Raw genomic sequence first — 14,274 nt, forward strand, 5'->3', positions numbered from 1 at the left:
AGCTGCTCTCTGCATGTGGTGGAAATTAGGACACTTCTCTTCTGAAGGAAGATGTCAAACTTAATTTACTGTAAGTACTTACATGGTTTTCCTTTTCAACAAGCAAGAATGAAGTGTAATTCAGAGTCAGTTGCGATGGCTTCCATTACTGGGTCTCTTGTTTCAACGCCTCTTTTGTGTCCAAGGTACAAGACCTGTCTCTGAAGTGTCTCCTGTGCTGACTGCACAGCACCTGCTCTGTTCTGATGTCTCTCCCCTCCCTGCTCCACACCTTCCTTTGCCATGATGGGTGGAAAATTATCATTCCCTTTCACAGGCAGGAGGATACCCTACTGAATGGGTAGTCGGACTTTGAGAGGGATGTCAGTATGGTTGACCCTTGAACAATGTGGGGGCTAGGGGTGCCAACCCCGCATGCAGCCAAAAATCCATGTAGAGTTTTTTGGTCCCCCTCAAATGTAACTAATGTAATTGCCTGATGGGTTTGTCTTACTTGCTGCACAGGCAAGATCAATTCACTGAGACCCTGACATTCTGATGAGGAAAGAATATCATTGATGTGAGGCCAGCCACATGGGAGACAGTTATGACTCAAATCAGTCTCTGAAGGCTTGGAGGTTAGGGGGTCTTCAAGCATAGTTTGGTGGGCAGGGGACTAAGGAACAGCTGCTGTTGATTCATTGGAATGCACTCTTAAGGGTATGGAAAATGGTCCTTGTGCACTGTGTTCACTTCTGGATCACGGGGCCACGGGACCAGTTGGGTCATGAGTCACAGGTCTGCCTTTGGGTGGGGGTCAGTCAGTTGCCAGAATGCAAAAGCCTGAAAAATACCCCAACATATCAATCTTAGGTTCTACAATAGTGATGTTATCTATGGGAGTAATTGGGAAAAGTTACACGTCTCCTGACCCACAAAACAATGCCTGGTTATCTGTAAGTACACCTAGATCTTAGCAGAATTCCAGCACCTCTCATCCTAACCTTGTAGACTTTCATTAGTCTTACAAAGGTGGTTTAGTTTTGGGAAAGGCTATTATGAACCCTGCTTTAAGGTTACATTATAAACTAAATCTCTCCCAAAGTTAGCTTGGCTTACTCTCAGGAATGACCAACAACAGCTTGGAGGTTAGATGCAAGATAGAGTTAATTATGTCAGACTTCTCTTACTTCATAATTTTGCAAAAGTAGTTTCACTAATAGCCTATTGTTGATCAGAAGCCTTACCAATAACATAAACAGTTGATGAACACATATTCTGTATATGTATTATATTATATACTGTACTCTTATAATAGAGTAAGCTAGATAAAAAAATGTTATTAAGAAATCATAAGGAAGAGAAAATGTTTCCTATTCATTAAGTGGAAGTGGATCACCATAAAGGTTTTCATCTTTGTCATCTTCACATTGAGTAGGAAGAGGAGGGGTTGGTCTTGCTGTCTCAGGGGTGGCAGAGGTGGAAGACAACCTATGTATAAGTGGACTCATGTGGTTGAAACCCATATTGTTCAAGGGTCAACCATATGTTGATATTCCTATTTCTGAAAGTGAAAGAAGAGATTAAGAAAGAGGTAGGAGACTAAGTTGCTAAAGAAAGAAAAAGAGTTAAAATTTAAAACTTTTGCACTGGAAGTCCTGACTTCAACACAATGATATATATCAATGTAGCAAAATTGCACTTATACCCCATGAATATATGCAAATAAAAAATAAAAATTAGAAAATATAAAATTAAGGACTTTTGGGTGGGGAATTACAGATAAGGTTAGTGAAAATTTTCTGGCCCAGACAGACTGCCTCTGTTGAAGTTCATGCCCTTCCTCCACCTTTAATTATGCCATCTGCTTAAGTTTGGATCATGTTCTCCCCTCTCTAGACCATGCAGTTGACATGTTGTCTTTACAGGTGACAGTAAGTTTTGAGCACCACAGACCAGTAGGGTCTCCTCCAACATCCCATATCTATCAAAGTATGTAATTGTCATGGGTTCTAATTCTAACTTTTAAAATACTAACAGAAGGGAAAAAACCCTGACTCTAGTGATTTCAGGTAGTGTGTCTTACTTAGACTTTCTGTAGACAAGGTATTTATAGTGGCTTCTGCCCACTTATTAATTATTTGTGCAAGCCTGTGGGAAATTACTCCTCCACTCAAGAGCAAGACAAAGTGGGCAGAAGGAACAAAGTTTATGGCCAGATTGACTGACAGCTGGGCAGGCCCGAGATTGACAGTTGCCACTGCACCACTGATTGGCTTTTCATTTGAATGTGGGTGGTAACAGCTAATTTTATACTGTCATCCAAAGAACAAGAGAACCCCTAGGAAACATATCCTCTTTAGCATTACCCAAAAAATTACAAAACAAATCTTTCCATGCAATTGTGGTTGAGAATGAGGGCTATTACTCTGATTTCAAAGGCTAATTAAGAGGACAGCAGGCAACGTGTGGATATACCATTTAAAATGACAAATGCCAAGATGTGTGTGGTATGTGTGGGTGTGTGCCTGTGTGTATGTAAAGAATTTGAAATTGCCTTCTGCAATAGTTTACTGGGGCTGCCCTAACAAAGTACTGCTGACTGGGTGACTCAGAACAACAGAAGTTTGTTCTCTCAAAGTGCTAGAGGCCAGAAGTTCGAGACCAAGCTGTCAGTGGGGCCATGAAACCTATAGGGAAGAACTTCTTTGTATCTTTATCTTCTGGTGATTGCCAGAAACCCTTGATATTTTTTGGCTTGTAGGTGCATCCCACTGATCCTGGGCTGTACACACCAGTGTACTCCCTGTGCTGTACACATCAGTGTACTCCCTGTGCCTTCACAGTCTTCCCTTTGTGTATATATATCTCTCTCTCTGTGTCCAAATTTCCTCTTTTATGTGGACACCAGCAGTACTGGATTAAGGCCTACCTGAATGACCTCATTTTAACTGGATTACCTCCATAAAGACTCTATTTCCAAATAAGCCTACATTCTGAGGGACTAGAGGGTTAGGACTTCATAATATTTTTGTTGGGGGAGATATAATTCCACCTATAATGCCTTGTAAGCTGTTTTGAAATTGCACCAGCCAAGTTAATCTTTGTTTGGGGTAGACTTTTTTTTTAATGATGAAATGAAAACAGTGTGCCTTTCCCTGTTAAAATTCCTTTTGAAAATTCCCAATCTAGCCTTGACTAAACTAAAGGGATTTTGTCATTCTTTTTCATTTAGAGGGAAGGGATCAGTTATGCACCCAATGGCTGAATTGGTTGGTACTAATGGCTGTTTCAGTTTAGAGAGTGGGCAGACCTGGTGAGGTGGGGTAGTTCAAAAGCAGAAAATTGAGGAGGAAAGGTGCAGGTCACACGACAGCTATTCTTACTTTGGCCATTGCTTTATGCCTGATAACTATTCTAGCACAATTGCTCTCAGCTAACTGGAGTTGACTGGGTAATTAATTCACGAAGGTTTTGAGTCTGATGATATCTTATATCGTCATACCTTGTATCTGTGAGGCATTGGTTCCAGAACCCCTGAGGATCTCAAAATCTGTGCACACCCAAATCTGGCAGACAGCCCTGCAGAACCTGCATATAGGTAAAGTTAACCCTCATCCGTGGGTTTCATATCCCATGAATACTGTATTTTCCATCCACATTTGCTTGCAGATGTGGAACCCATGGATACAGATGACCAACTGTATCTGTTGAAAAACGTCTGTGTAGAAATGGACCCACAAGGTTCAGCCCATGTCGTTCAAGGATCAGCTGTACAGTGTGCTCCTTCTATGTGACCCTAACTTGATCGTAACCAGGATATTGCTTTGCTTTTCTACCCACGTGCCTTTAGTACATGGTTCTCTCTTCCTGGAATGCCCACAGCCTCATCTGTATTTGCCCAATTCCTAACTTTCCCTTGAAGCAGAGGTTCTGGAAATTTTGTTCTTAGATCAGCAGGAGCAGAATGGCCTGGGGACTTGTTAGAAATGCATATTTGTGGGTCTCACTCCACATTTCCTGAATCAGAAACTCCAGCCTTGGGAGCAGCATTAAGTAGCCTTCCAGGTGATTCTGATCCACTCAAGCAAGAAGACCACTGCCTGGGGCTAGAGCTTTCCAGGTTCTCTTCATGAAGCACACTGCCTAATCCCCCAGCTGGAGGTCATTCCTTCTTCATTTGGTTTTCTTGTGCTCTCTATCAGTACTCCTTTTAGGGAGTGACTACTTAGTATTCTTCTTTCCCTTCCTGGATTATACGAAGTTTGAAGGTCAGTCATACTCACCTTTGTCTTCTCCACATTGCTTACCTCTTATGCTCAGACAGTACTTGTTAGATGAGTGAACTCTTGATTATTTAAGTGGCCTGCATCTGTGCTTTATAGGGGAGCTGGTTTTGCAAGGCCTAATTCATTTTCTGCCACCCATCTGTGTTTTTGAGCTTACCTCAGCATATGAGTGAGACTTCCTGTAAGATCCAGTCTGCTCTGCTTAGCATGGCAACCCCAGTCCTCTCCGGTTATCCAGCATGGCCTCTTTTCTCCCAGTGGCTGGTCAAGCAGAAGCCTCTGCAGTTTCTTAAACCCACCCTGATCCCTTCCTTCCCCCTGCTGTGGTCTGTGGATTTTCTTTTCTGAAATACTCTCTTACCCTTTGTTTATGTGTGTGTGCCTGCTTACTCTATATTATTTTTATATTTTTTACTCTATTTTTTATTTTTACGCTATTTCTTTTTTTAAAAAAATTATTTGAGATGGAATCTTGCTCTATTGCTCAGGCTGGAGTGCAGTGGTGCAATCTCAGCTAACTGCAACCTCTGGCTCCTGCGTTCAAGCAATTCTTGTGGCCTAGCCTCCCGAGTAGCTGGGATTACAGGCACGCACCACCACTCCCGGCTAATTTCTTTTTAGTACAGATATGTTTCACCATGTTGGCCAGGCTGGTCTTGAACTCCTGGCCTCAAGTGATCTGCCCACCTCGGCCTCCCAAAGTGCTGAGATTACAGGCAAGAGCCACTATTTTATTTTATTTTTATTTGTTTATTTATTTTTTAGACAGAGTCTCCGTGGCCAGGCTAGAATGCAGTGGCACAGTTTCAGCTCACTGCAACCTCTGCCTCCTGGGTTCAAGTGATTCTTCTGCCTCAGCCTTCTGAGTAGCTGGGACTACAGACACATGCCACTGCACCCCACTAATTCTCTGTATTTTTAGTAGAGACGGGGTTTCACTATGTTGGCCAGGATGGTCTCAATCTCCTGACCTCGTGATCTGCCCACCTCGGCCTCCCAAAGTGCTGGGATTACAGGCGTGAGCCTCCACACCTGGCCCTTTATTTTTTTAAAGAACCTAACTGGGCCGGGTGTGGTGGCTCACACCTGTAATCTCAGCACTTTGGGAGGCCGAGGTGGGCAGATCATGAGGTCAGGAGTTCGAGACCAGTCTGGCCAATATGGTGAAACCCTGTCTCCACTAAAAATACAAAAATTAGCCAGGCACGGTGGCGTGTGCCTGTAGTCCCAGCTATTCAGAAGGCTGAGGCAGAAGAATTGCTTGAACCTGGGAGGCGGCGGCTGCAATGAGCTGAGATCGTGCCACTGCTTCCCAGCCTGGGTGACACAGCAACACTCCGTCTCAAAAAAACAAACAAAAACCTAACTAAAGCATCATCTGCTCTGGAAATTCTCTCCCCCACCTCCTTTTTTTTTTTTTTTTTTTTTTTTTTTGAGACAGGGTCTCACTCTGTTGTCCAGGCTGGAGAACAATGGCACAATCATGGCTCACTGCAGACTTGAACTGGGTTCAAGAGATCTTTATGCCTCGGCCTCCCAAAGTCTTGGGATTATAGGTGTGAATAACTGTGCCCAGCCTCTTCTCTCGCCTTGATCATTTTGGTGCCTTCCCCTCTCCTGGTCCTTTTCAGAGTATCTTAATTGTTCCTTCCTTGGTCTAGGTCCCTTGTGATCACAGGTTCGTTGGGTGTAGTCTGTCCTTTCTAAATCAATGCCTCCAACATAGCAAGGCCTCCATCAATATTTATGGAATGGGTGGATAATATTCTGAGAATTCAGCTTAAAACATCACAAAAACACCCCAGGAAGAAACAGGCCCCTCCTCAGCCCCTCTGCTCCCTGCCCTGTTTTTCACCCCAAGGGCTGGCAGTCCTCTCCGCATTCGGTTCAACGGACTTTCTTAAACCTTCGTAACACCCTTTCCTATAAGTGAGACTAGTTAAATGATTTTGCCAAAGCATATTTGTGCACATACAAAGACATATAATGAAGACAAGTAGCTGCCGTGTTCACCTCCCTGTAAGCAAATATCAATAGAATAATGAAATTTTTGTGTTAGGATATTTTTATTCAGTCTGAACACAAATAAGTCATAGAGGGTAGTCAATGCTTTGGAAATAAATCACGTTAATTCCACTATAAACAATTAATGTTCACCTAGCCCCAACTCTGGGTCAAATATTTTCCAACATTCTAGGGATAAAAAGTAGCCCTCTCTTACCCTAATTTTCTTGTTCTCCCTCCCTCTCTTTTGCTTTTTCTCTCTGTCTCAATTATCTCTTTCATCAGATGCTCTCTGTCACATACTATGCTAGGCTTGCGGGTAAAACAGTAAATAGGAGAGAATTAGTCTCATGGCATTTAAATAGTCTCTGAGCAATAATTAATCACACATGTATTCCCTATGGCTAGCCTAATATCTGCCAGTGATGCTTGTTAATGAATCAATGAATTGATCAAACAATGAAATCATGGATAAACTAATTAAAAATGTTCCTATGTATTTTGCTTAAGAACAGCCAGCAGCTCATGTTTCATCAGTGCATGTGATTTGAGGGCTGTCATTTCTGGCTGGATGCTGGGTATTCCAAATAATTCCTCCCATATTCTCCTTTTCCATTCATTTATCACTCTCCTCTTTTTTATTTCTCTCTTAGTCTCACAGATAAATGATAGGTTAGAATCAGAGCAAGAGAATCTATTCAAGGTTGCTTTTTTCTTTTTTTTAAACTTCAAAGCTCTAGTTTTGCAGAGCCATCTGAATTCCTTGTGATGGTGACAAAATATAAAGTAGGGTGCCTCCAAGTTCAGCAGAAGCCTGCCAACCACTATCTTGTAGTCTGATATCTACCACTAGGGGAGCTGCAAGTTCAAAAGGCCTCTCACTAGGAGTCTGCCCTGGAAGCTGACTGTGGCCCTCATCTGATAGCCTCATGGGAGAGCACCTAACTCCCTTTCCTGCAGTGAGGCTATTACTCACAAGTCTCCAGAATTGATGAAAATGGCTGCAAGGACAAATTTAGATAACAGTGGGGGAAAAAATGGCTTGTGGATCAGAGATGCAAATTGGCGATGACATTGGGTAATAAATGAGTCCAATCTGTGTAAGAGGCTGGGGTCATGCCTATTATCATCCCACACGGCGACATTGGCGAGAGCAGGACTTTGGCAGGCATTTATCACAGAGTATATTACAAATGTCATTAGTGAAACATTAATATTACACAACATTTTAGAAAGGCTGAAGCAATCATCTCGTTTTAATAACAAGACAGTTCTTAAAGATTTCCTTTATTTTTTCCTCAAGCAGAAAATGAGGAACATTCTAGGATTATCAGATCTCACTCTTTGTTTGCAAATTGCAAACTGAAACTGTTGATCACTGCATTTCTTTCTTCTTAAATCGGGTCTGCTTGACAAGTGACTGCCATGCATTTCTCTTTATTCAAGGAGACAGAAGACCCTGCTGTTTTGAGGTAAGGGAATTTGCTCCTTGTTGGTTGAAAATTGTAAGCTCTGGAGATGGATTTTTTTAGGCACCCGATAAATACTGAGCTGTGTTTGTATCATCTTCTGCCATGCTTTGAGGAGAAAAAAAAGAGACCTCTGATGCTCTTAGCATAATAGCAAAGGCTTTAGTAGTTGAGGGTTACTTCCAAAGAAACCTGATTTTAACCCTTGGAATTCTGGCCACTTCCACAAAGAGTAGCCAGAGAAATAATCTCACTGGCCTCTGTCACATTTCCTCCTGGATTAAGCATCTATTATATGCTCTAATTTTGCTGGGAATTGAAAGGAGTATTAATAAGAAAACCAAAAAATACATATCTGAATTTATAAACAATACATAAAATCATTGACTTACAGAATATTAGAGTTGCAAACAATTTTAGGGAGGTCCTTTTTTTATTTAAGAAAATGGAGAATAACTGGCTTTGCTCAGACTAGTTGGGAGTATTTGAGAGAGAATTGGGACAAGAAACTAGGACTTTAGACTATTTAAAGAAGGAGTTCAAGACTTAGATGGGTGTCAAGGCAAATACAGTGAGGCAGTTCAGAAATAATGCAACCACAAAAAAATCTCAAACACCAATATGAGACATTATATAATCAAGTGACAAAATATGTGATACAGATAGAAAGGACTAGGACCAGAGAGCAGTGGGAGGCCAGTGACATTAGAGTTGAAAGTGTCCAAAGGTGGAATTTGAGTTTCAGCTGATGATGCTTGAGTGTGATAAAATAGATGGTATGGGAAGAGGCTAGTCACAATTTGATGAATTAATGACTATTAAATATTAAAGGGCAAAGGGCAAAAATGATCAATAAACATGCAGAATAAGGAATTGACAGGATGTAGGTGGGCGACAGTAAAGGGTCACACCCAGTGGAGAAGGGGATTTGTGTTGAGAGATGAGTCTGATGGACGATGTAGCCTTAGCACCTCTCCTGTGCAGGCACAAGGAGTGAGAATAAAGGCATGAATAATTTAGATCTCCTGTCAGACCTGGACCAAGATCCCAGCTCTCCTAAATCCTAGCCTAAGGACTTTTCCATAGAAGCAAATAGTTTTTGCAGCTGCTTCCTCTGGCGGTATGTGCATATAGATTTTCTTTTGTACAGTTAAAAAATGTAGATTCATGCTTGCCAAGGTAGATAAGTCTGGGTTTTGTCTCAGCATGAGAAGCCATCAATAAGTTGTTAAAATAAATAAGTAAACAAATTAAAACAACAGGTGATGGTGGTGTTCTGCATAGCTTGAGGGGGTCAATGATGGGGAGAGAATTACAAGTAAATATAATTGAAATAAAAACTGAGACAATCTAGGAAGGGGAGCCAGTTCTTCTGACCTCACACTTTACATACATGTTAATACCTTTCTTTGAAACTGTATAAATTCACTTTGGCCAGAAATTCCCCAGTTTTTCCCCCCAAGTGATCAGGCCCATTGCTCATGCTTCCTCCCATCCCATCTGGAGCTTCTTCTCTGAAACTAAATGATGTGGCAAATTGACATTTCTGCAATAGCATAGAAAAAAAGAACAAGACTTGTTTATGATTTATGCACTGCATTTTCATGCTCCGGGGCATAGATAATTTAGCAGAGGCTTGAAATGAAGGAGAAAGCATTTAAAGTCATGTGGGAATTTGATAATACCATTGGGTTGAATGTTATTTGTATGACTTTGGAAATAATTAATTTCTCAAATCTACTTTGTCTTCCAAGTTGATTAGTCTACTTGTTGCAGATGACTCCTTGATGGTTAGTGAAACTCTCAGGATGTGGGGTGGGTAAGTATTTACTAATGAAACCAGCCATTAAATGGCATTTTATTCCAATGTGCCAAATACAGGAGGGACCATTCCAATAGCCTGCCTTCCTGGGAAGGAGAGACTTTTGCCCAGGATTGAGGAGACCTAAGTCCTATTTCCAACTTTGATGAAGACAGTGGACTCCTCCATGAACAATTTACTCATCCTTGGACTTCCCACTCCAGGACTGGTACATAAGAATTGTCAACTAATGTGTTGCTGAATGGATGCCAAGCTGGTTGTGTAATTCTGTGGACTTGCCTCTGGGTCTCAGTTTTGTCAGTTGTATAATAAAAGCATCCTTGTTGCTCATGTTTAAAGTCCCCTTACCGCACTAAAATCCTATGACACAAGCCTTACATGATTTGGGCTTGACTTGTTTAATTATCGTTTTGCCTCAATCTGATCAAAATGTTAGCTAGTAGCCTGAGATAAATTGAAAAATCTTCCTCTGTTTTTTTCGCATGATAAAACGTCTGTTTAAGGCAATTTCTATTTTTAAAAAATCATATATGGGTAGTTATGAATTACTGAGGCATGAGACCATATCAATAGCAATGAAATAAAATATTATTAAACTATTATTTAAAAAAAAAAAACAAATAGCTGGGGGCGGTGGCTCACGCCTATAATCCCAGCACTTTGGGAGGCTGGGGTGGGCGGATCACAAGGTCAGGAGTTTGAGACCAGCCTGGCCAAGATGGTGAAACCCCCGTCTCTACTAAAAATACAAAAATTAGGAGCCGGGTGCGGTGGCTCACGCCTGTAATACCAGCACTTTGGGAGGCCGAGGCGGGGGGATCACGAGGTCAGGAGATCGAGACCATCCTGGTTAACACGGTGAAACCCCGTCTCTACTAAAAATACAAAAAAATTAGCTGGGCGTGGTGGCGGGCACCTGTAGTCCAAGCTACTCGGGAGGCTGAGGCGGGAGAATGGCGTGAACCCGGGAGGCGGAGGTTGCAGTGAGTCGAGATCGTGCCACTGCACTCCAGCCTGGGCGACAGAGCGATACTCCGTCTCAAAAAAATAATATCTGTCTCAAAATAATAATAATAATAATACAAAAATAAAAATACAAAAATTAGCCGGGCGTGGTGGCGTGTGCCCTGTGGTCCCAGCTACTCAGGAGGCTGAGGCAGAAGAATCGCTTGAACCCGGGAGGCGGAGGTTGCAGTGAGCCGAGATTGCGGCACTGCACTCCAGCCTGGGTAACACAGCGAGACTCCATCTAAAAAAAAAAAAAGGTTAAATTTATGGGTCAGGATGCATTACCCTGGTCCATTCAGCTTTATTTTTTAATTTTAAAAATTAGCCCAAATGGGTGGCTCTACCGTTATGAATTACCTAGTAAGATAAAGGTAAGGAGAAGAAAGCTTTGCCTGACATAAGAGCTTAAGAAATCCATATCAAGTCCATTGCTGAATGGTGAGATGTGGGTGCAATGTGATTTATTTTATATTTTAATGTAAATGCAATGTAATATCCTTCTAGAGATTACATTTGTCCTGTTGCTTCCACTGAAAGAAGAGCCAGAAATATGCCTTAGAATTTTGGAAGAGAACTGCCCATCTTCAAGGATGGATATTGGTCTCCCCGGAGTCGCTGACAGGGTTCCTGGGGAAGAATAAGAGCTCCTAGCATCGTTGATGTAGCTTCTTTTAGATGGGTGAGGCTGAAAAATAACTCTACTTATTGTATAGAGAAAAGGAGTATAATCAGATCTTTTGTGTATTTAAAAGGGAAGGCTGCTGGACCTCTAAAGTATGGATTTCTGGTTGGGGAGGAGATTGGCTTGTTCTGGACCAAGGAGGTGGGTGGATACAGCAGAAGCAGCCATAAGTAGGCATGTGAAAGCCAACTGGTCCCTGGGTGGTAGCTGTGTATAGCAGTGGAAAGATCTGAGCCCTGATGTATGCATACTTAGCGGCACATTAGATTATTTTAACATTAAAGGACTGGGTGGACCATTCTATAGACAGGCCTCAGCAGGTTTCTGTTCAGGTGGAAACTCAGATCCTGCTGATGGAGTACGTACAGGCATGCCTTCAACAGGAATAGAGACTTCAGGAGGCAGTGAGCAGATTCTAGCTCTGGCATTGCTGGGGTGAGGATATGTCTGCCCTCCCAACCCTCTTCTACTTTTGGACTTCTAAAAAGTACCTGGACAATTCAGAGGTAAGAGGCATCTAAGAAGTACATAATAGACTTCCTGCTAACGATGCAGATTAGGCCTTGACCCATTCATTGATAAATAATAAAAAGTATTTAAAATAATAAAGAATAAAAAAGTTTTACTGGCAACTCGAGTTAAGGGAAAAATTTATACTATTTTTACAAGTAATATGTACTCATTTAGAAAATGTAGAGAATGCAGAGAAGTAGGAAGAGTAAGAGCATTCAAATTCACAAACTCAACGATGATCACTGTTAATATTTTGGAGTGACTATCCCCTTAAGAAAATAGTGCTTTAATAAGTGGACTGCAAATATTCATGGGCCAACTGCATATCTTTTGATGGGGGAAGACTTTGTGCAGAGTGGCGGGTTGGGCCCACCCCTCAGGCAGTGCAGCCTTTCAGATTCCACAGGCACCTAGGTTTGGTTTTTATTATGAACTAAAAGCTCCACGAAGAATTTCTGTCTTGTTCACTGCTGACTCCCAGCAGCTAGAACAGTAACTGACCCATAGTTGCCCTCAAAATATATTTACTAAGTGAATGAATGGATGAACGTGTGGGTGTCAGTTGGGGTTACCAAATTTAGCAAATAAATACCTAGCATTCTCATTTAACTATACATTTTTAATACACTTTTTTAGTGTAAATATAATATTGCATGGATATATTTGTACTAAAAATTATTTGTTATTTATCTGAGATTCAAATTTAAGTAGATATCCTATCATTTATCTTGTACCCCTTTTATGAGGTTCTGTTTCTTCTAGATTTCCTCATTCTGTTGTATTTTCTTGTTCCTTCTTATTGGGATACTTACACTGTGCTTCCCTGAAGGGAGGTAGATGACTGAAGTGTGATTTTCCAAAGGCAGAAGGAGGCTCGTCACAGCCTACTTTATCCAAATGGGCCCTTAACCTGCAGTCCTACCAGCCTCTCAAACAGCGAAACTTTGCAGCTGGCAGAGATGTGTATGACACACCTGTGCTGCCAATCACTGAAGAAACCATGTCTTGAGGAACCTAAGGAGAAAAACTCAGTGGCAATTGCTTGTCAGTGAAAACAGGTAAAGTGGTTGCGTATTTAACATTAGGTTGTGAAGTGAGTCTATCCTCAGGAAGGAAAGGATAAAAGCTTATGTATGAGACATTTCATATTCAGATGAAATGAATACCTAGCCTGCACCTTCTTTCTTGGGTAGTTGTAATGTCAGCTCTCTCTGGGGTTCTTTCTTTGACCCACTTCTCTTCTCATTCTAGGTTAGCCCCTCCACTCCCATGGTTTTAACTGATGAGTTACAAATCTTAGTATCTGTAATGCAGATTTTCATCCAGTAGGTGATTGTAGAACACCTACTATGTGTGAACAAGATGCTTTGGGATAAAATATTCTTGTTTCTAGTCCTGATTTTTGAAACAGTCTTTTCAGTGGAGACAAAATCAAATATTCAGGAAATAGATATGAAAGTATTGTGATAACTGCAATGAAGGAAAAACAGAGTAAAATGAACCTGGCAGAGAATAACTTAAAAACAAGGATGGTGTTGCCAGGGTGGAGAGAAAGGAGAGGGGAGTACTACAAGACAGGCAGGCATAGGCCAGTCACAGAGGCTTGTAGACCATGTGAAATAATTTGCTCGTCATCATGAGAGCAATGGAACTCCATTACAATATGTTAAGGTAGAGAATAAAATAAGATATACATTTTGAAATAAACAATAAACAAGATTTACATTTTCAAGATTGACATTTTGAAAAGCTTGCTGTGACTGTGGTGTGAAGAATGGATTGAAGGTCAATACTGGATATAGGTGAGGTCAGTTAGAAAGCTTTAGGAGTAGTCCATTAAGAGATGAAGGTAATTTGTTCCAGGATGTTGGTGGTAGAGACAGAGAAAGAATGATGTGGGAGTTAGGTAAGAAGTAAATGGCAGGACTTGATGATGGGTTAAATGGGCTGGTGAAGATGAGGTGGTATCAGGACTGGCTTGTAGTTTTCTGGTATGTACAACCTACTGGTGTTATGCCAATTACTGAGCTATGGATGACTGGAGGAAGGCCAGGTTTGGAGAGTCAGATCCTAAGTTTGGGGACATCCTGAATTTAATGTCCCCTCAGAGCTTCATGTTGTATAGGCAATTGGATGTATTGGTACAGGAACTTAAAAGGTCTGGGCTACATATTTATATTGGAACTTATTGACAGCTGGCTGGTGTTTGAAGCCAGGAGCTTGCCTAAACCAAGAGTATAGAGTGAAAATAAAGGGAGGGGATATGTTTAATTTCTGAGGAGCTACCTATTTAAAAGACTATACAGAGAAGGATGCCAGGGAAGTTGGGAAGTGGACAGATAAAACCAATGTTGTGTGATACCGTCAGTACCAAGAGTTGAAGGAAGGTAGAGAGAGTCACTTCAAAGGTTAAGTCGAGTAGAATGGAGATTAGCAGGGGCAGGGCCTGGTGGTGAGGCAAATGGGTAGATGTTGGTCAAAGGGTACAAAGTTTCAGTTATGTAGAAT

The 14,274-nt window shown here is 41.5% G+C and overlaps 1 pseudogene across 1 annotated transcript in view; it reads left to right on the top strand.

The window, feature by feature from the left end:
- Window positions 1-14,274, top strand: part of LOC100130331 (POTE ankyrin domain family, member F pseudogene) — a 66,147-nt pseudogene that overhangs the window by 32,177 nt on the left and 19,696 nt on the right. The window contains exons 5-8 of the transcript NR_027247.2: window positions 9,623-9,771; window positions 11,076-11,250; window positions 11,586-11,759; window positions 12,596-12,824. The product of NR_027247.2 is annotated as a POTE ankyrin domain family, member F pseudogene (transcript). The remainder of the gene's footprint in view (window positions 1-9,622; window positions 9,772-11,075; window positions 11,251-11,585; window positions 11,760-12,595; window positions 12,825-14,274) is intronic.

Source organism: Homo sapiens, chromosome 1 (genome assembly GCF_000001405.40).
Source record: "Homo sapiens chromosome 1, GRCh38.p14 Primary Assembly".
Lineage (NCBI taxonomy): Eukaryota > Metazoa > Chordata > Mammalia > Primates > Hominidae > Homo > Homo sapiens.